Source organism: Homo sapiens, chromosome 4 (assembly GCF_000001405.40).
Source record: "Homo sapiens chromosome 4, GRCh38.p14 Primary Assembly".
Taxonomy (NCBI): Eukaryota; Metazoa; Chordata; class Mammalia; order Primates; family Hominidae; genus Homo; species Homo sapiens.
This window is the reverse complement of record NC_000004.12, coordinates 73,842,002-73,864,747: the sequence shown is the minus strand read 5'-3', so window position 1 is coordinate 73,864,747 and position 22,746 is coordinate 73,842,002. Positions and strand designations below refer to the sequence as shown.

The 22,746-nt window shown below is 38.6% G+C and overlaps 1 protein-coding gene and 1 pseudogene across 1 annotated transcript; both read right to left on the bottom strand.

The window, feature by feature from the left end:
* Positions 1 to 10,264: 10,264 nt before the first annotated feature.
* PF4V1 (platelet factor 4 variant 1) lies at positions 10,265 to 11,452 on the bottom strand. Its single transcript, NM_002620.4, has 3 exons — positions 11,286 to 11,452; positions 10,839 to 10,965; positions 10,265 to 10,713 (listed from the first exon to the last, which is right to left on the bottom strand). The coding sequence occupies exons 1-3, from the start codon at positions 11,383 to 11,385 to the stop codon at positions 10,626 to 10,628; spliced, it is 315 nt and encodes a 104-aa protein (NP_002611.1). The 5' UTR covers positions 11,386 to 11,452; the 3' UTR covers positions 10,265 to 10,625.
* Positions 11,453 to 15,494: 4,042 nt separating this feature from the next.
* Positions 15,495 to 16,012, bottom strand: PPBPP1 (pro-platelet basic protein pseudogene 1; annotated as a pseudogene).

The following is a 22,746-nucleotide window of genomic DNA, read 5'->3' as shown; positions in this document are numbered from 1 at the left end:
CAAGCAACAATTCTTAAAGAAATGGAGGAACCTTTAAAAATGGAAGCTTTGGTAGCTAAATTCCATTTTGCCTGGAATCACTATTGAAACTTTCATAATTAGCAGTCAAATCTGGGAGCTCATGTTTTCTAGACCTGTTTATCTGTCATTGCTGTAGCACTCTGCTGCCTGCAGATGTCACCTGGCAGCTCCCTGCCTCAGCTGCATCAGGTATTTTTCACTCACTAGCCCAAAGTTTCTCTGTTGCTGCCATGTAACATCCCTTTCGCAGGAGAAACCAGAGGCAAAAGATACATGTTTTCCCATTTTTCATGCTTTGGGCAGACATTCTACATCATTTCTCAGAGGATATCCAGTAGGATTGAACCCCAGTTGCCCATGTCCTCTTTTCCTATTTTACTCTTTCCTGTTCTTGAGTCCTCTGTGTTGGGAACATTTCCCCAAATCAATTACATGCATGGCAAGCCCATGACTCAAGCTCTGTATTTTAGGGGAGCCTAAATAGAGGCACTGCTCCATCCTGAGAAGTGACCATGCTCAAGGCAGGCAGGAACCGGCGGGGCAGCTCTCCTCTGCCCCTACTTGCCTTAGGAACTCTTGTCCCTCACACCTGCTGTACCTATTTCTCTATACTCATCTCTTCCAATGTAATGACTCTGGCTCTGAGCAGAGAATAATAAAGATGTGTGAATATGATGTTAGATTTCTGGATCAGTTCACCCCCCAAAGTACAAGGGCATAGTGGGTGCTAGAGTTAGGTTCAGCCTCTCTATTCAGTCTTCCAAAGACTGCTTGTCTGGCACCCCCTTCTCGGAACACCCCCTCGATTACCAGCTCTTAGTCTGTAGATTTCAGGTAAGATAACCCATCTCTCAGTTCCTTCCTGTATGCCACCCCCAGCCCTAACCCTGCTGATTAATTCAGATGTGGACAAGTGACCAAAGCCTGGCTATATTAGAAATAGTTCCTAGAATTTTTGCTGGAACGAATGAAAAGGAGGTTCTGAATTCTCACTGGGATTGCAAAACTGGTAAAATGAGGGCCTGGAATTTTGTAATGCTTGGAGAGAACCTACCTGAGAGCGAATTTGGCCCAGAGAAAAGCAAAGGTAAGACATGAAGGGGACCATCTAAGTATATGTATGGACACCTAGGTCCTCCAGCTGGCTCTGATTTATTTATGAACTTCTCAGTCATGTAGGCCAGCAGATTTTCTTTCTTTTCTTTTTTTTGAGATGGTATAAATTAGATGTCTGTCTCTTGCCAGTGAAATAGTCTTGCCTAATACCACCCATCTTCCACACTTCTGCTACAGACAACTTTCCTACATAGTTGCTCTAGTTACTTTATTGTTAATGCATCTGTCCATTCATCCATTCAAAATTTATCTACCACTCATAATCCAGGAACTAAATTTGGCTCTAAATCGGATTACAAAGAGGGAAAAGAAGACTTTGCTTCAACTGAACTCACATCTACAGAGTGGCACAGAAAGATATGGCATTGTGTGGAGGTCCAAGACACTCAGCTGTGTGCAGAGTTTTGTGGGCACTCACAGGAGGTGAACACCTGACCCTTTTTCTTGGGAGGGTGGGAGCTTCCAGAGAAAACTTTCTGGTAGAGGGTGCTACCTAAGGTGAGTTGGGAAGGGACCCACTTCAGAAGAGGCAGACCAAACAAGCAAAGGAATGGAAACTGGCAACAGTGTAGTGTGACCTGAAAACAAAAATCAGCCGTTTATTTTTTTAACACAGAATTTAACATTTAGATTGATCCAGCAGAAGGATAGGCAGGGCCCAGTCACTGAAGGCTCCTATTTATCAATCAAGGACCATTTCAAATGTCACTTCCATTAAAATCCCATCTTTCCTTCCAAAGGGTTATCTTGGCCTTTGGATACAAATCACATTGTGGGGAGCATTGATTTACATACTCCCATACTGGATTGTGTATTCTGTAAGGAAAGCCATCATATATCTCATTCCTGTTTGCATCCACCAGACTCTAAAATTCTCTCACACCAGTGGTTTTCCTAGGGACCCATCAAAAACTATGAATATCTGGTCCTGAAAGTTCACGGGAAGCTTTGTGCCAGGACTCTGGAAAAAGAAGATGTAAACATGAAGATAAGTTTTCAAACAGGGAGTTAGAAGGAGCTAGAAGAAAAAGTCTCTAAAATGAGTCTGGTTCATGCTAAGCACTCAACAAATGTTTGCTGACATAATGCATGAGTCAATGGTTTCAGGTCACTGTTTTAAAACTAAAATATCCTTAAGTCAGGATATGTGGAAGCTTCCCTTGATGGAGTGTGGAATTTCCTTAGTTTCTTTTGCCTATTTTGACTTTTCAGGACCAGAATAAAAGATGCCAGTGGACATTTAATGAAACCAGATATGACAGTTGGGTCAGAGCCACAGTTTGAATTCTATAGTAAGAGCTAGAAAAGGGGATCCCCTACCTGGGAAAGCCAGAGTAATGAGTCTGAACCAAAGTCCTTAGAAAGCTCTGATGCCCAGGTCTGCCAATACATTTAAAGAGACAGATGGGACCTGCATCCAAAGCCAGAGGGCTTGAGCTCTCCCAGGTGTGGAACAGAAGGGGAACAATGTTAGGAATAAGGCCAGGGAGGTCCTTGTCACAGATGGAGCTGGAATATCTGTGTTTGGTTTATAGGTCATTTGCCTTAGGGCTGATAGAACAATCCAGGTCATTACAGGTTCATGATCTAGGCAGTAAGTGAGTAGATAATAGCTATTCTTCCCACACATTTTAAAATTCATCTGCGTGTAAAAGGCACAGTGATAAGTTTAGTAGAAGAGGAAAAGTTGGATAAAATATGAATTCTAATGTAAAATTCTTTGTTTAGCCTGACTACTTTCTCTTGCAATGCTATATTATTTGTTTTTCTGTTCCTGGCATGATAATCTGATGTTATGATTAGTCTACAGATACTTAAAATCATTCAGGTAACACTGAGAATCATTTGATATATTAGCTTTGCCAGATTTTTTTTTGGAGGGGTGGTTATTGTTTTTATATTTTTTTTTTTTTTTTTTTTTTTGTTTGTTTGTTTGTTTGTTTTGAGACAGAGTTTCACTCTTGTTGCCCAGGCTGGAATGCAATGGCATGATCTCGGCTACTGCAACCTCCGCCTCCCAGGTTCAAGTGATTCTCCTACCTCAGCCTCCCGAGTAGCTAGGATTACAGGCATGTACCACCACACATGGCTAATTTTTTTATATTTTTAGGAGAGACGGGATTTCTCCATAGTGGTCAGGCTGTTCTCGAACTCCCAACCTCAGGTGATCCGCCCGCCGCAGCCTCCCAAAGTTCTGGGATTATAGGCGTGAGCCACCATGCCCGGCTGGTTATTGTTTTTTAAAAAGGTTTTTATAAATCTTTTTGCATCTCTGTTTTCTTTAAGATTGTTTTCTGACCTATCTGGAAGTGGTATTCACCAAGTAATGACATCATGAGCATATATTTAAAAAAAAAAAAAAAGAATTACAGGATTGCAAAGGATAAGGAAATGAAAAGTTTCTCTTGGAAATAATTATGCAAGAAATTTGTTTTGGAGAAGAAAACGTTATTATGACTTTGTCATTCCGAAAACAAAATTTAGGAAATTGAAGGATGAACATATAAACCACAAATGAAAATAGCATACATAGCATAAAAACGCAGATTTCAGCAAAGAAAAGTTTGAATCATCATGAGAACTTATGTTAACATCTTGTCCATAGTATTTTCCAACATTCATTATCCTTCAATTTTTTGGTAAGAAATATTTGTGTTTTCCTTTTTACCTTCTTGATCAGTCCATTTACTTAGGTAATCTTTGAAACAGATTTTCCTGAACAATACTGATTTCAAAGAGGTTGCTCTACTGGTGTGTGACTGAGCTAGTTCCTTGATTGACATTTCTAGTTAATTAAGTAAGTAGTTAATTAAGGACACTAAAGAAATACAAGATCTAATTAGATATGGTGGGTATTATAGTGAAAGAGGAGGAACAAGGGCTTGGTTGTGTGTAATTTACCATCTGTATGTTGTACATTGAAGCAAACATCTATAATAAAATAATGTTTAATATGTCTATATCATAGCATCTGTGTATGATGAGAGCACGTGAATAGACAGACGAGGGGAACTCTTAACAGAGTCCCTAATAGTTACGAATGCGACTCTAATTAAAACATCAAACAAATCACTGATGAGGCAGATAGTATGGGTGTGTTATAATGTCTATGAATAACTTGATGAGATCAGTGAGCCTAACAAGATCGAGAGCTGGGAAAACGGTGTCTTTCTTTAATTTTCAACTAACTTTCTGTTGGCTGAGTAGCTTATCCTTAGCACCCAACTGCACCATTACTTCACAGCACTAACTGCAGATTTATTCTTCTCCAAGTAGTTAATATTTGACACACATTTACTTAACACCTACTCTATCAGGCATTTTTCTGAAATCCAGAATGAAGAGATGGAATAGGCTTAATCCTTATTCTCTGATTTAAAGTAGGAAAATAGATAAAGGAATAATTACAGTGAAGCTTAATAGTTATTCTGATGGAGGCGTGTGTAAATTGCTTTATTGCTTATTTCCTAACATTCCCTATAGCTATCCCTAGAATTACTGAGAAAAGAAAACTGATTCTCCAACACAGCTGATAAGTAAGAGCTGGCTGTTCCAACTCTGTTTTGACTGCTCTGTTTCAAGTTGGATTGCCTCTCACCACAAATGCTGAATAGTGACATAATCCTCATGTTGTGCCTGCTTCAGTGAAGAAGTAAATACTTGGCAAATTTAAGTCTAAAGTTTATTTTTTCTTGTTTTCTTTCCTGGAAAAATAGCTAAGCCAGCCTCCTGTATAAATATACAGTTCACTAGATGTCCTGTATATTTTATAATCTTACAGATATGCTGGCTGACAAACATTGTGGTTTTGTTATTTAATTTTCTTTTAGTTGTTATCAGGAAAATACTACTTGTGTCTGTCATGCTAAATTTTTTCTTAACTAGCTGTCTGCACCCAAGCTTTGGGTTGTGGTTCTGAGCAAGGGAAGTACTGGCTTATTGGCTGTATTCTTAAAGAGTTGGTTGCTAGCTCAGGGATTGTGGCTTCTGCTGGAAATGTTATGTTCCCTGAGAGTAGAACTCCAAGAAGAGGAAAGGAAACATTTATTTACTAGGTTTCAATTCTGAGTAAGAACCCATACTGGATCCTATTGTAAGTGTGATTTAATCCTTTTCAGTACCCTGTGTGGTGGGCTTTATTGTCCTTGTTTTGGAATAAGGGAACTGAGGAGACCCAGGGTCACACAGAGTCAAAGCTGAGATACAACCCAAACTGTCTTTCTCAAAAGCCCACTGGGCTAATGCCAGCATCTACAGGAATAATAAGGAAAAAACCCATATGGGAAGAATTTTATATAACAGCTAGTTAAGTCCACTGAGTGTGAATATGCTGCTTTTATTTGAGCCCTCCTAGAAATCGATGTGTTTTCTGTTCTTAACCCAATTTACATTTGGGACCAAGCTAGGCAGTACACGGCTGAAGCAGATGGTCAGGAAATATAAATGGTAGCCCAAGCTGAAAAGGACCTAGAGTCTCAACAATCCCGACAACATCCTATTTGGTGTGACATCTTTACCACAGAAGCTGTTTTTCATGGGTTTCCTCGAGACTCCAACCCCAGGTGAGGGATGGTGACTGAGATTAAAGGAACACTATAGACCAGGAGATTTAACTTTTCAGCTAGGCCTTAGTATCCTGCCCCTAATGGCTCTTCAAGCATTTTATCTGGAGTGTGGAATCCAATATAGACCGTCACAACTTAACTCTTTAATCAAAGAACTGGAGGAGTGTTTTTAAACTACACATCATGGTACATCAGTAGGTTATGAAATCACTTTATAGTGGTGTGGCCAACATCTTTTAAAAAATGGAATGTGGTAGGATAGAGTAGAATAGAACACAAAATATGAGGACACACAGTACAAAGCAAATATAAGTATTGCATTATGAACTTGTTTTATGTTTGTGTGAGTGTGTATGTATCTGTATGTGTGGAAATATATACATACATTCATACACACATACATATACACACAATGAATATAAGAATCATAGGATCTACATATATGTATAAGTGAATGCTGGATCACATAGGTTAGCTATTCATTCTCTGGCCAAAGAAAACTAATTCTATTACCCTGGACTTGGTTTCCTATTTGTAAAATTGGGACAGGAATGCTCCCTAAGTGCTTGCAATGCACTTAAGTAATTACTAAGTGTTTTCTTTATGATTGTGTACAAATAATTGATATTGTATTGAAAATTAGCAGTTCAACTTATAACCATGTCAAATGATAATATGTCCAAAAAGAAAAAGAACATTGAGTGGCAAAATTACAAGTTTTAAAAAATAGTTTCTATTCTTTTGCCTCTGTTTTCTGTTACTTAGAGTGAAGATGCATTGTCTTTTACAATGAGAAAAATATGAATATGTATTTAAAAACAAAGAAGTCTTCAATATCCTATGCATTACAGAGGAACTTATTTTACCACAAAGGTCTTAGAAGGAAAAAAAGCAATAATAAAAATACAGAACAACTTGCAAGGTCAAAATGTCCTTTGATGGTTTTGTTTCATTGATAGACACCATGACTATGTGGTAAGTCCCTAATTTGTGGACATTTTATGCTGACTGCCTCCATCTAGAGGGGAGTTTAAGTGCACTGAATCTTTATTACTCCATGAATGTTGAAACAACAACAGGGAGTTGCTGTGTCGCTTGGGATTTTCCAAGGAGCAAAGCCCTCTCCCCATGCCCATGCAGATAAAGGCAGTAACTTAATACAGTTTGGATGTGCGTTCCCTCCAGATCTCATGTTGAAACGTGGCCCCCAGTGTTGGAAGTGGAGCCTAGTGGGAGGTGTTTGGGTCATGGGAGAAGATTTCTCATGCATGGCTTGGTGCCCTCCACACGGTAATGAATGAGTTCTCACTCTGTTACTTCACAAAACTGGCTATTTAAAGGAATCGGGCACTTCCTTCTCTCTTGCTCCCTTTCTCTCACTATGTGACACACTGTATTAGTCAGGGCTCTCTAGAGGGATAGAACTAATGGAATATGTGTGTGTGTGCATGTGTGTGTGTGTGTGTGTGTGTGTGTATTCCATATATATTCAACAATCCAGACAACATCCGATTTGGTGTGGCATCTTTACCACAGAAGCTGTTGTTCATGGTTTTCCTCGAGACTCCAACCCCAGGTCAGGGATGGAGACTGAGATTAAAGGAACATTGTAGTCCAGAAGATTTAACTTTCCAGCTGGGCTGGAAAAAATATATACATATATATACACAGGGGAGTTTATTAAGTATTAACTCACACGATCACAAGGTCCCACAATAGGCTGTCTGCAAGCTGAGGAGGAAGGAGAAGCAGTCCGAGCCCCCAAACTGAAGGACTTGGGGTCCAATATTTGAGGGCAGGAGGCATCCAGCATGGGAGGAAGATGTGGGCTGGGAGGCTAGGCCAGTTTCTCTTTTCACATTTTTTTTGCCTGCTTATATACTAGCCGCACTGGCAGCTGATTAGATTGTGCCCACCAAGATTAAGAGTGGGTCTACCTTTCCCAGCCCACTGATTCAAATGTTAATCTTCCTTGGCCACACCCTCACAGACATGTGAAGAATCAATACTTTGTATCCTTCAATCCAATCAAGTTGACACTCAGTATTAACCATCACAAATGCCTGCTCCCCCTTTGCCTTCCACCATGAGTAAAAGCTTCCTGAGGCCTCACCAGAAGCTGAGCAGACATTGGTGTCATGCTTGTACAGACTGCAGAACTGTGAGCCAAATAAGCTTCTTTTTTTTTAATTTAATAAATTACCTCAGGTATTCCATTATAGCAATGCAAAACAGATTAATACATGACTCAAAAGTGTTCTCAGGACAGTTAGACCAAAGTCATTCTGAAGCAAGAATGTATGAGGCACCAGCATTCCAGGATTGTTTGACTTGGCAAAATTTGTTTTGCTCTTTTGACCCTTTAAAAGTCACATCAACAAATTATTAAATAAAGCTAAGTATGCTGTTTGAGACAGGCAACAAAAAGGAAAGCAGCAAAAACAAAATCACACCACACACATCTGATTTCCAGTATTTTCTCCTTCAAAGTTCATTTGTTTTGAGCAATTTCATTGCTATTGCAATTTTTTTTGCTACCTATTACAAAAAAAAAAACAACCCTCTGTTAAATTCCTTACTCAGGCCAGGCGCAGTGGCTCATGCTTGTAATCCAAGCACTTTGGGAGGCTGAGGCCGGTGGATCACTTGAGGCCAGGAGTTTGAGACCAACCTGTCTCTACTAAAAATAGAAAAATTAGCTGGGCTTGGTGGCACTTGCCTATAATCCCAGCTACACAGGAGGCTGAGGCATGAGAATCACTTGAACCTGGGTGGCAGAGGTTGCTGGACAACAGAGTGAGACACTGTCTTACAAAAAAATAAAAAATAAAAAATTCTTACTCAACACTCCAGACTAACTGGAATGGTACATTAAGAGAAATATTGATACCGGTAATATAATACTATAATACAATTAATCGTTGTTAATTTTTAAGCTCAGACTGTATATAAGGAACTGTGCCAAATGTTTTGCATGCATCCTCTGTTTAGTCCTTAAGATAATCAATCCATAAAGTTAGACACTCATAATGTCCTCATTTCACACATATGAAAACTAAGGCACAGAGGGAAAGTGAGTGTAGCGCAGCCTGGGATGCCAGGTTAAGGACTTCGGATCTTGAATATTTTATTCAGGGAAATGAAATATTTGGGTTTTGGAAAGATAGTTTGGGTGGTAGTACATTAAGTTATACTGAAGATAAAAAACACTAAGTGGGCAAAAACTGGTTGGGAGACCCTTGTTCATTCTCTCTCCCCATAGATACTCCAACCCTGCAGTGCTATGAACTGTTGTACAAACATGCAAATGACTTAAAATGATCTTGTGTCTTTCTACTTGTTATTTATCTTGAGGCAGTTCCAGTCTTCCCATTGCCCGCCTGCCCCCCCCCGCCAACAAATTCCTACTCCACCTTCAACAGCTAGTTCATGGAATTCGCTAACATGCCACTTTCCTGTGTGAAAGACAGCACAATGTGAAAGCAAGAGCAGGAAGTAGGGAGTCAGAATGATCTGCTCAGCCTCTGAACAAGCTGCGTCCTTCCCAAGACTGTCACCTCATCTCTATAATAGGAATAATACTAATTTGCAATGTGGATGTGGAAATTTTAGATGATATTCACAAGTCTCTGTAAATTTTGTTTATTTTAATCAATTTGTCATCCTAGGTACCTCCCTCCCTTCCAGCCCACCACAGAGATTGAACTGTACCATCTGTATTTTATCATAGATCTTAATCCTATCTGTACACATTGTCACATTAGGTTAAAATTGCACTAGCTCATGAACAAGGGTCTGTAGCTTTCTCCTGCCTCAAGTAGGTCTTGCCTTCTGGTCCATGGTGGTAGGCTGAATAATGCCCCCCACCCCTGAGATCCTTGTGTTCTACTCTCTGGACACTATGAATGTGTTGCTTAACATGGCAAAAAAAAAAAAAAAATATATATATATATATATATATATATATATATATATATATATATATATATCTTTGCAGATGTATTAGAGAACTTGAGTTGGAAAGCGTTTCTGAATTATCCAAGTGAGCCCAATGTATTCACACGCCTCCTTATGAGAGGTAAGCCGGATATAAAAGGTAGAAGAGTCAGCAGAGACAGAGGAGAAGTAGAGGTTGGTGTGATGCAGGTTGAAGACTGGAGAAAGGGCTATGAGGCAAGGAATGCTGGTGAAAAAGGAGAGGAAGTAGATTCTCTTCTAGAGCCTTCAGAAGGAATACAGCTCTGAGGACAGCTTGAGTTTAACCTTTAAGACTTACTTTGGACTTGAGACCCCTAGAATTACAAGACGATAAATTTGTGTTGGTTAAGCCACTGAGTTTGTGGTAATTTCTTACAGAAGCAACAGGAAACTAATATGCCCACATTATAACACCTTCATTTCTCCCCAGTGTAGAGCAATGTCTTCCTAAAGGATGAATGAAAATATTACCTCACACTTCTCTTAGTTCCCAGAATCTTAATATCACCAATGTTAAGGAATTTGTGGGGATAAAAGCAGAGTGTTGCTTATTTACTTCATTGAAAAAAAAAAAAGCTGTCGAGTAATGCTTAAGAGCTACTAATATTTATTGGCAAGCTAATTGTAACATTCAAGGTAAATATGTAGCTATAAAGTACTGCAATCACATAAATGAACAAATATGTATCAGCTAACATATAACACTGAACAAAATCAGTCTTTATTAAACCAAGCCTTCCTTCATAATGCTTTTTGCTTAAAATTCTGGAAATTTTAAAATATGAAATTGTGATGTGTCAGCATTATTTTTGCAGTATTATTAAGAAATAGATTGACTATACCACAACTTGATTTATTTCGTTAATATAATATAAGAAGGATAATACAAACATCAGAAGATTCTTTCACAGTTAGATTGAAAGTGCACACTTAGGCAGCTAGTAGCTAACTCTCCAAATGTTCCTTAATGATTTTCTTGTACAGCAGGGCTTGCAGATCCAAGCAAATTTTCCTCCCATTCTTCAGCGTGGCTCTGGCAGGGAAAAGAGAAGAGACGTGACTTTCAGTCCTTGGGTTTGCAAATGGCATTAGAAGGGGGAGGGATGGGCAGAGGAGGCACGGAGCGGGAGCACTAACTGATGCAGTGCGAGGACTCACATGAGTTGGGCAGTGGGGCAGTGGGGTCCGGCCTTGATCACCTCCAGGCTGGTGATGTGCCTGGGACGGACCTGGGAGGTGGTCTTCACACACAGGCACTGCAGGTCCCCATCTTCTTCAGCTTCAGCTGAGGGGGAAAGGGAGGGAGTAAGAGAGGAGGAGGGGTGGGAGTTGTGACTCCCTGAGTAGCCAGAGATACTTTAGGGACCTTTTCCACTACCTTCAGCTTTCTTTTCCTTAGCCGTAAATCAGACCTCTCTCAGACAGAGGTTGTGCTGATCAGGTGGCGAGGTGCACGTGCAGTGCCTGGCACTGTACCCGCAGACTCAGCACGCGCGCAATAAGAGCAGCTGCGATCATGATCCTAGAGGATTCCTCCCCAGCCCCAGGGCTTCCCGGACTCCCCCTCGCCGCTGCTGGCCCTCCCAGCCTGGTTTCTGCTCTCACCTCTGGCGAAGGCGACCACAACTGGCAGGAGCAGCAACGCCAAGAACAGCATCTCCTGGCGGGTGGCGCGGGTGAGGCGGGACCTGGCTGCGGAGCTCATGTTGCAGCTGAGGTTCCAGCAGGATCCCAGTGCGCAGGGAAAGTCGGGCTGGGGTTCTGCAGGCAGTGACTCCTGGCCTCACCAGGCTTCTTTTATCCCCCGTCACTGTCCCACTGTCCTTCCAGTCCGGAAGCCTGGGGTGGACAGCGAGGAACTGTGGTGCAGGAGCTAAGACACTGCTATGAAGACTCAGACTCTGGCCAGCCAAGATTACAAAACAAAAGGCTGGGGGCAGCTGCCTTGGCTAGGAGGTGGTACAAAGATGCATACCTCCAACCTCAGTTTATATACACTTACATTTGTGGAGTTAGAAACACTACTTGCATCTTAGAAGAGAAATATTTTCTGTGTTGTATCATAGTAGAGTTCTCTGTAGTCACCAAGCAACTTACACAGCAGGTGGCTTCAGGACCCAGACAGTTCTTGTTTCCTTCTCAACTCAAGAACTGCCCATATGCTCCTAACTTCAGTCTTGATTACCATTGAGTTTGATGGCTGTGTGTTTGAAGAGTGTGCTATTTGCAATTGTTTTCTAATACTAATAAGTTTAATTTGGTCTCTAGGTGATGACTCTTCTGAATTTCACCTGAATGTGGAAAACTTCCCTAGTCTCTGGATGAGATTTACCAGGCTCCACCAACAATCACCCAGTATACTGTAGGATGCAAGATCTATTTCCCGTTACTCTTAGAAAAATTGCAGAAGTAATATTTGAATGCATTATTTTTATAAAAACTTAGCTCCTGGATGTTTCTTCATTGTTTCAATCCTGAATAATAGTCCAGAAGAGAGGACAAGGAGAGTTTGCCAGGCCATGTCTTCCAGAGCCTGCTGTGTCCTCAGTCACTGCCAGTGACAGGGTGAGATGGGCTGCACTGTTGGCAGGGAGCAGTGATGCTCTCTGTGGGAGGATTCAGGGCATCTGGGAGTTGGGTGTGAGAATGATGGGAGGTGACAGTGAAGGGGATGCAACAGAATCCCACACGGGAAAGGGGAAGAGATCCATATCGACCGTTTTCTCTTCTCTAAAAAAGAATGACTTTGGCTCTTGATCAGGGCAAGGTACACCCTCAACCCAAAGCCCAAGGTTCCCTGTCACTCTGACTAACAGTGGTGAAGGGTGTCAGGGACCCACTGGATGGAACTAGCTGATATTCTAATGCTCAGCAAACCTGCATTTTTGTAGGAATATGCAATTCTTTCTCCTACTCTCCCTACACCTGCCTATTCAGCTGGCTAAGACCTATTCATATTTCTGGTGTCAGCTTAAATATCACTTCCTCAGGTGTGCCTTCCCTGACAGCTATATATAATTGTGTTCCCTTGTTGTTCTATCTTGCAGAACTCTGTTCTTCGTATTTCTCACAGAATACACAAACATACACACACATATATTGTAGATATATATATATATATGTGTGTGTATGTGTATCTGTGTATTTAAAAGTGTTTAAAATTGTTTTGTTTCTTAAATGGAAAACACTGTGACATTAGATATCATAACGTTTATCACTATTTCAATGTACTGGTAGGGACTCAGTGCAAAGTAGCTACAGTAGTGAAGATAATGTGTTGAAAATGATGATGATGAGGCTTTGACGTGTTCCTATGTCTATTCAATTGGAGCAATTAGAGCATATAATTGGAACATACATCTATATTGACACGTGTCACATATGGTCAAAATTATTTGTCCACTTGTCTGCCTCTCCCACAAGATAGTGATCTCTTCAATAGCAATTCTCTGTGACTTATGTGCAGTCACCCACCACATAACAACGTTTTGGGCAGTAATAGACTGTATAAGTGATGATGATCCCATAAGACTATAGTGGAGCTAAAAAATTCCTATTGCCTTGTGATACCATAGCTGTTGTAAAATCATAGCAAGCCAATGTATTATTCATGTGTTTGTGGTAATGCTGGTGTAAACAAACTTACTGTGCTTCCAGTTGCATAAAAGTATATGACATACAAGTATGTACAGTACATAAAAATGGATAATTATAATAAACAACACTGTTTCTGGTTTGTGTATTTACTATATTATACTCTTTAATCATTATTTTAGAGTGAACTCCTTCTCCTGCTAATGGAAGAAGAGTTAACTATGAATCAGCCTCTGGAAGGCCCTTCAGAAAATATTCCAGAAAAAGACATTGTTATTTTAGAAGATGACCACTCCATATGTCTTATTGCCCATGAGATAAGAAATGAATGTGGAAGAAAGTGATTGATGATTCTGACCTTGTATAGGCAAATTTTTATGTTGGAGTCTTAGTTTTCAATAAAAAAATTTAAAAGGTGAAAAAATTAAAAATTAAAAAGCTTATAGAATGAGAATAGAAAAGAAAAAATATATTTATATAGCTGTACAGTGTGTTTGTATTCTATGTGAAGTATTATTATGAAAGTGAAAAAGTTTAGAAAATTAACACATTTATAAAATAAAAATGTTACAGTAAGCTAAGGTTAATTTATATTGAATAAAGAAAAATATTTTTTAGAAACTTAGTGTAGCCTAAGTGTACAGTGTTTATACAGCCTGCAGGATCGGACTGTAATGTCCTGGGCCTTCACATTCGCTGATCACTCACTCACTGACTCACCTAGAGCAACTTCCAGTCCTGCAAGCTCCATTCATGGCAAGTGCTCTCTACAGGTTTACCATTTTCTATTTGAGCATACTTCTACTGTACCTTTTCTATGTTTAAATATATTTAGGCACACAAATACTTATCATTGTGTTACATTTGCCTACAGTATTCAATACAGTAGCATACTGTACAGGTTTGTAGCTTAGGAGCAATAGGCCATAACATATGGCCTAGGTGTGTAGTAGGCTATACTAGGTTTTTGTAAGTACACTCTATGATGTTTACACAATGAAAACAATTGCCTAGTGATGCATTTCCCAGAGCTTATCCCCATCGTTAAGCAATGTTTGACTGTATTTTTAAACATCTGGTGTACAACTCAATGGCTGTGGCAGAACATATTGTAATTCATACATTTCCATGGAACTGAAACTGAAGTTAACAGCGGAGAGAATAAATAAAAGGGATGGTTTTACATTTCAATGGGCAACATAGTAGGTCTGTACAATCTTACCCGGAGATTTCAATATTGGCAGCATACAGGAATTCAGGCAGCAGCGAGTGGCAACTAAACTACCCTTTCTCTGCATCTAAATAGAATAACTCAATAACTTCACACAAAAATAAGAGATACCTGCATCTCATGAAGAATAAATGTAGTGCCAACACTGTGTTATGTCTCAGGAGCTGGCGTTGACAAGTTTCAGTGGTAAAACACTACAGATATGAGTGAGATGCTTGAGCTACTTTGAATAATTGAGAAAAAAAACTAAGGAGAAGAATTGCAATTTGCATTTACTGCTTTATTACGTGTTTATTTATGTATCGTTTTGGCTATTATTTAATATATACATTTATTTTATAGACAAAACACTTTAAGGTATTGAGCCTATGATGGTGAGGAGATAATAAGAGCATTCCTTAATAGCACAAAAGTTGTAAACTACATGCTTAGTACATGAGTACCTCCCCAAAGTCCACGTACAAGTTGGAATAGGTGAAATTATTTCTTCTCCTATAATCATTATAGTATACAGTATGTTATCTATGCAATAAATCCTATTTTGTGTGCCAATAATACTATGTTATATGTAATGTAATCTCCTCATTCGAGGAAGCAGAGTTAAGAAAAGTGGTGTGGTGCAGTATTAAGAGCAGAGTTTCAAATCCCCACTCTGTCACCTACTAAGTAATCTAATGTTGGGGCAAGATTTTAAATTTCTTTCAACTTTCTTTTTTTGTTGTTCCAGAAAATACCATAGTTTTCTTTATAGAATATCTGGATATGTTTTTGTTATATATTGTTACTCTGCTAGTGACAAATATGTTCACTTTAAAGTAAATAATCACAACTTACAAAACTGAACATTCAACAACTTTACTATTTTCAGCATTGGAAGGCTAAAATAAACATTAGAAAATCTTTCAGAGAATGTTGTAAACAAGACATCCTAGCACATTGGAAAGCTCTATTATATCCCTAAAGAGTTTAACAAAAATTTATTGACCAAATATTCTATGCTGGGCTCTGTGTGAGTTCTTATATCATTGACCATTATAAAATCTGTTAATTATCATGGGCATGTCTAGTCTAACAGTAAAACTGAGCAAGAAAAATCAACAAAAATATGTTTGGAAGGAGATTCTCAAATAAAGAGAGCAAAGCACTGTGCAATGGTTAGCCAGGAATTAGAGAGTAAACCATGTACTATGTTGAAACTAGGCTTGCTTATTTTCATCTTCTTTCTGTCATCTTTTAACTAGCCTTCTCAGAATAAAATGTGATTTTTGAGAGAGAATGGAAACATACCTGGATTTTAATACAGTAAGAGTAGGTATCTTGGATAAAATAAGAATTCAAAAAAGTCAAGGCTTTAAAATCCTGCCCTTCCTGGGAGGTAAACAGGTTTGGCAGAAAGTGAACAGATTAAGCACCTGACCCATCACCTTCCAACATTTTCTGGACTATCTTCTTGATTCTGGGAGCTTCTGGGTCCAGGTACATTTTCCTCCCATCTTTCAGCATGGCTCTGTAAGAGACAACAGAATTATCTGTTGAGAAACAGAAAACAATACAGATGGGGAAGGAGGTGAAGGTGTAGGGCTTTCCTGATGAAGCAATGACACAGAAGCAGGGACTTACATCACTTGGACTTTGTTGCAAGGGGCTCCTGACCTGACCACTTCCAAATGATGAGTGCTGGTGATCCATCCTAGGTTAGCCCTAATTCCTGGCTGACCATTGCACAATGCTTTGCCCTCTTTATTTGAGAATCTACTTCCAAATACATTTTAATTGATTTTTCTTGCTCTACTCTACTGTTAGACTAGACATGCCCATGATAATTAACAGCAAATAAATGTGGATGTTTGGGATGATGTTGCTGGGATGAATTCCAGAGGCTGACTTCACACACACGCAGCACAGTTCAATGTACAAGTCACTGTCTACACATTCAGGTGGAGTAGAAAATGTGATTTATTAGTGGCCATGACTATTTAGCTCAATTCCTTATTTGTAAATTGACAGTAATTGTACCTCTCTCATAAGGCCATTGTGAATATGATCTGTAAAGCTTTAGTAAAGTGCCCAGCAGAATGCTCAGCACATGTGAAGTGCCCCCTCTGTGTGCCCCCTCCAATTGGAGTTGTTAGTATAATGGCACTCTCCAGACCCAGGGGCACCAGCTAGTCTTTCTCCCAGACACAGGTATAGCAGAAGCAGCAACAGGTGCAGGCAGCAGGTCTCTACCTTTGCTTTTCCCTAAGTTTCTCTTGCTTTGCCCATTGGTGCAGGAAGGCAGAGCGGTCAGCAGCAGTGACAGAAGCAGCAACACCTGCAGGGCATGAAATGGTCTGGCACTGTTACAGGAAGGGGTGGCTTTGAGTCTGAGGCTCATGGTGGAGAAGACTGAGCTAGAGTTGTTTCCAGAGCCAGAAGACTTGCACATGAGGGTGAGCTGCTGCCTACAAGTCTGCAGACAAGTGGCTTCTCATGCTTTGAAGATGTCATTTATATCCTATCCCTCAAAGCCAGGAAGGAGGAAGAGATAGGGAAAGGGGAAGTGAGGGTATGTGGTGATCCACATATAAGCCTGTCAAGCTGTGCCCAACCCAGAGAAACACGAAACAGATCAAAATTCCTACTAAGTTGCATGTTACGCATCTCTTCACATTCCCACTCTCCCTTTCTCAGTAGCTATCTCTCTTACACATGTGTAAGAACTCTACTTAGGAAGGTAAGAACTACCCTGAAATACCACATGCATTTTCTTTGTATGAGTATGTAACAATATGCCCTGACTTTCCTAGAATGCAGTGTACAGGCTTGATGGACTTTAGGAGCACCCAAAAGCACAAACTTGTGGCCCTTGAAAGAGAGAGTTATCTTTCCTTTCTAGTAGCTATGGGAAGTAGATATTCTTTTCCTGGTTGTTGATAAGTATTTGGATTAGTTTGGAGTATGTGAGTAAAATAAGAGCCAACTACCGTAAAAGATTTACTTTTTATTTTAGCTTATGGGCTTCTTTCTGTCTTCCAAATGAATTGTCTTTTGTAATTTCACCCAGAATCTATAAACAAAACACATCCTCCTTTGTATTATAAAAGAAGTTACTTGTTTCTACCACCTGAGTATACTTTAAAAAACAAGACCCACCATATTGATTTTTTCCTTTCCTCTTAATCTAATAGAAAAATAGATGATATCATTTGTTGTAAACAATTCATACACTACAGATATATTTGAAATAAAACATTCAAGTTCCTTATCATTACTCCATATTACTGCTCTTCAGTGGTAACCATTGGTGACAATTTGGGATTAGTTTTCTATTCTATGTAGATTTATATGCACATATTTATGCATATACAGAGAGAAACATGTTTAATATGTAAAGATACATGTATACTATTCACAGAGGTATATGAAGGTCTTTTTTATATAAATGGGATCCCTTTATATAGATTATTATACAACTTACTTTTGTCTTTCAAAATATGGGTTCAACCGGGCCATTGCACTCCAGCCTGGGCAACAAGAGTGAAACCCCATCTCAAAATAAATAAATAAATAAATAAATAAATAAATAAAAATATGGGTTCAGCATCCTTTTATGCTACTTTGATGCAGTCTTCCCCCATTCTTTTTAATGGTTACATGACATTCTATGGTAGGAAAAATAGTTACTCAGCCTCTGCCTTGTTTATGACCATAAGGAAGTTTTGAACTACTAGAAGCTGCAATCAGGCTTACACCTGTAATCCCAGCACTTTGGGAGGCCAAGGGGGCAGATCACGAAGTCAGAAGATCGAGACCATCCTGACTAACATGGTGAAACCCTGTCTCTACTAAAAATACAAAAAATTAGCTGGGCGGGGTGGCATATGCCTGCAATCCCAGCTACTCTGGAGGCTGAGGCAGGAGAATCACTTGAATCTGGGAGGCGGAGGTTGCAGTGAGCCGAGATCGCACCATTGCACTCCAGCCCTGATGACAGAGTGAGACTCTGTCTCAAAAAAAAAAAAAAAAAAAAAAAAAAGAAGCTGCAATCAAATCTTTGTTTCTGAATTCTCAGGTCCTGATTAAAGCGCTTGGTGTGAAATATTGCATATAAACTAAGCCCCACATAGATACAGAAGTATACCTATATACATCACATGTTGGTTTGTATATTATTGTCTGGATCACTGTCCCATTTATAAGATTTGCTTGTTCAATTGAATTAGACATTTTGAAGGCAGAGGCATGTCCTAGGTTTCTCTGAATGTCTCATGTATCCTATTGCATGTAGGATAATGCAGGATAAAGTAAGTCCTAAGCAGTGTTAATAAGTAAATCAACAAACATAAATCCCATGAAGGAAGGTTTCTCTTTTCTGTTCTAATTAGCTACAAACTCCACATGACCCATAGCACGTGTAGTATGAAAGTGTCATTTGGAAGACTGGCAATAAAGAACGAGGCAGATACAAGTGGTCCTGGCAACAGGCAGTCTTCCTGCTACAACTATGTATAACTCTCTTAGGATGTTATTTAAACTTCCCATATTCTTTTCTTACTTTTAATAACTGAATTTTATGAACAATTATTTATTATTTCTGATAATTCTGCATGTTATTGTGAGCTTCTTCTGCTAAGCTCACCTAAGTGGGTGCAATCAGAAACAACTGAAATAGCTGAAAATTAAAAATGGCCTCATTCACATGGGACGTGGTTGGTGTTGGCTGCTGGCTGAGATTTCTGCTAGGGTACCTTCATCTTTCTCCTCCTTTTTTTAGTAGCTTTGTTTTACTTCTGAGGAATAAACAGAAAGTAAGGAGGGAGGGAAGGAAAAGGGAGAGAAAAGGAGAAAGACGAAATAAAATAGAAAAAAAAAAAAGACAACACAAAGCACAAGCCCCATCACTTGAAGTCTCAAAATATTAAATATGCAAAATTGCTTTCTAGCCAAAAAATGAATGTAGTAAATATTTTTTCTGACTTAAGTTTTTAAGTCAGATTTTCTTGTTTAATAGTTCCTGACTATGCCTACTTAAATTGTTAGGTCCTGTTTTTTAATATATCCCTTATTTTTCTCCACCTCATTTTTTTCTTATAAATTAGAGTTTAGCAGTACAATATAATAAACTAAAATGATTTTTCTCCTGTCTCAACACAGAAGTTTCTAGTCTTAAGCAAGCGTAAAGGAAGGGGATATGCTGAGAGTTTGGGTTCTTCTGAGAGTTGAGATGTGGAGTCAATTGCAAAGATAAGCTCAGCAGGACACAGAATTAGGAGAGCAGGCTTCTTTCTAGTTCCTCCTGTGAGATGACTTTATAGACTTCCCTCATTATTGACATTGAGATATTGTGAATTCTCAAGCAGATACGTTTCCATTCAAACATAAGATCAAAACCATTTCCAGAGCAAGAGATAAAGGTTTTTAACACTATTCATAGTATCTTTCATTTTCTGTTCAACCCCTTAAACACATTGCTGAGAATATTTACTAGCTTCACTGGACGATTTTTTCTTTCCATGCTTAACACTATTCAGATTTCTTTCCTGTTTCATTAGAAAGATTTTTTAAAAGTCACTAATCCTTTTGAGGAAACTATATGAAACGTCTTCTGAAGTAATGATGCTGTTTGAATTGGTTGATACCGGGAAGGAGGTAGCCATGGGGCACACTATCATCAAGTCATTGTCTTAATCAACAAATGTGGTTCGTCACAGACAATACATTGTCAGCAAGGTTCATGAGGAAGTCTTAAAACATTTCTTGAGTCATCACAATTTCATAAGCCTATTAGTCAGCAGTTGATATAAAATAGCTTTTTGCTTGTTTTCATTTATTTAAAAATATTGATTAAACATCTATTATGTGCCAGGCATTATAAAGTTCTCATTTTTGTGTAACTTAGTCATTTAACTATTTCTTTTTTAAGAGCAATCTAAAATATTTGTGTAAAGCAATGGGATATGGATAATACTCTATTATTACTACTACTGTAATGACTGTAACTGTTAATTGTTGTTACTGTCATTTGCCTTATTCCCTTTGATTTCCAAGATGAGAAGCACAGTACAGAGGGCAAGGCATACACAAATGGTTAAAAGATATTTTCAAATAAGTTATTCAGTTAAAAGCAGTTAGCTTATACAAAATTATAAATCTGAATGAATACTAGGGGTAAAAACAATTGTCAGAGGTTCTTGAATATTAAAATGACAGCCTTTTTAAAGAAGCTTACATTGTCACATGGGTTTTTATGTGTGTATGTGCTAAGAAATTTTATCAAGTCTTTTTCCTTTAAGTCATACTATAAATAACAGTCATTCAGAAAACAAAGAAGTTTTCTAAGACCCCAAACAGAACTTACCTGTTGGCTATTTTAAAAGAAAATATCTAGAGACATCAGAGGACTACTATCCCTTGAAATTAAGACATATTATCCCTGCCTTACATAGAACATTTTGAGCTGACATTTCCCAAATCCTTCTTTTAAGTACAAAGTCAATGAGCTATCAATCATAAAAATAATTTGAACAGAATATCCTAGAGCTAGTAAAAATTTTGGGTCAGTTTGTTAAAGTATTTTAATCAATAAATTGAAATACTAGTCAATAAAAGAGTTTCTATTAAGTGCTGAAACCAAATGTGTTTTATGTGTGACTCTCAGTTGATATGAATCATTCAGACCACTGGCACTCAGGTTAATGGAGGTTTTACTGTCTTCCAGTGAAACATGAGGTGTGGGTGGGGAAAGAGTGGGGAGAGTGGGGCTGGGGAAATATCTTCCTGGGTACTGTTACATAGAAGTGCTGCAAAGTTTTGCAGGCCTGAGAATTTTCATTTCAATTTATGTTAATCAGTATAATTTGCTGAGTCTCAAATGTATGACTGTTACCCACTTTCATTACATATTCATTCATTTGAGGAAATTCCAGTACGATGTTTTTCCAGAGTCTGCAAACACATTCAATTGTTAGCAAGTACCGTTTGATCCTCTTTTGCTGTGTAAGAAGTCAACCTTAAATTTAGTGGCTTAAAATGACAGTTTATTATTTTGATAATTCTACACGTTAATGTGAGATTCTTCTGCTAAGCTCAATTAAGTGGGTGCAGTCAGAAGAAACTGAAATGGATGAAAATCAAAACTGGCCTCATTCCTATGAGAGGTGGTTGGTGTTGGCTGCTGGCTGAGATTTCTGCTAGGGTACCTGGGTCCTTCTCTTCCTCTTTTAAATAGCATTATTTTACTTCTGAGGAATAAACAGAAAGGATGAAGGGAGGGAGAGAAGGAAAGGGGAGAGAAGAGGAGAAGAGGGAAGGGGAAAGAAGAAAGAAAATAGAAAAAAAGTCAACACAAAACACAAGCCCCTCCACTCTCCTCCTTCTTTCTTACTTCTCCTTTTCCTTTCTCCTAGTCCCTCCCCTCACCTCTCCTCCCCTTTCTTTCTCTCCCCTTATTAGAAAATCTTTGTTCTGTGGGAAACAGTATATTTGCTGTAAAGAGATCTTAACTCAGACAGAAAGCTCTTCATTTTTATAATTTCCAGATTTATAAGGATCTTGCATAGGGTCAGGTATGTAACAAGATTATCAATAAAGGTTAATAAATTGATATTTGATTGAAGAATGTTTATATGAAGGAAAATACATCATAATTTTTGATAGTTACCATGTACTTCACAAAAAAATAGAATATACAGCTTTCAAAAGCTTCTATAAAAAGACTCATAGAAAAAATTTTAGGAGTACTAATAATTAGTCATGCATATGTAAAAAGAATATAAATAAATTAAGAAAAAATAAGTATGTTTAAACTACTAAGTTCTCAGTTTTCTCATTTGTAAGGGGGAGTTTGAACTAGGAGTCTTGGGAAAGAAATTATTAATAATATTTACCAAGAATCTACTTTGTTCCAGGGTAGTGCCTGTGAGATAGCTATTATACTGATTTTACAGGTGAGGAAGCTGGGGAAGGTAGATGTGAAACAAATTGTCAAGTTCACATAGCTGGAAATACACAAAACTAGATTTGAAATGCAATTGCTCTAATTCTGTACTGCACCACAAAATATAAAGAAGTATAATTAGCTTCTCTTGCTGGAAGTAAGTCAACTAGTTTTCTCTTTATCTAACCCTAGAGGTAGATTAAAAACAAACATAAATTTATGTGTTAGAGAAACGTCTCTGTTAAAAATACAAAAAATTAGCTGGGTGTGGTGGCAGGCACCTGTAGTCCCAGCTACTCAGGAGGCTGAGGCAAGAGAATGGC

What these genes read in the sequence shown, in the direction of transcription:
- PF4V1 (NM_002620.4), bottom strand. Translation starts at nt 11,385, where the DNA reads ATGAGCTCCGCAGCCAGGTCCCGCCTCACCCGCGCCACCCGCCAGGAG. An exon ending in TGTGGTCGCCTTCGCCAGAG is followed by an intron (nt 10,966 to 11,285) that starts GTGAGAGCAGAA and finishes TTTCCCCCTCAG; the next exon opens with CTGAAGCTGAAGAAGATGGG. An exon ending in TGCCCCACTGCCCAACTCAT is followed by an intron (nt 10,714 to 10,838) that starts GTGAGTCCTCGC and finishes TTTCCCTGCCAG; the next exon opens with AGCCACGCTGAAGAATGGGA.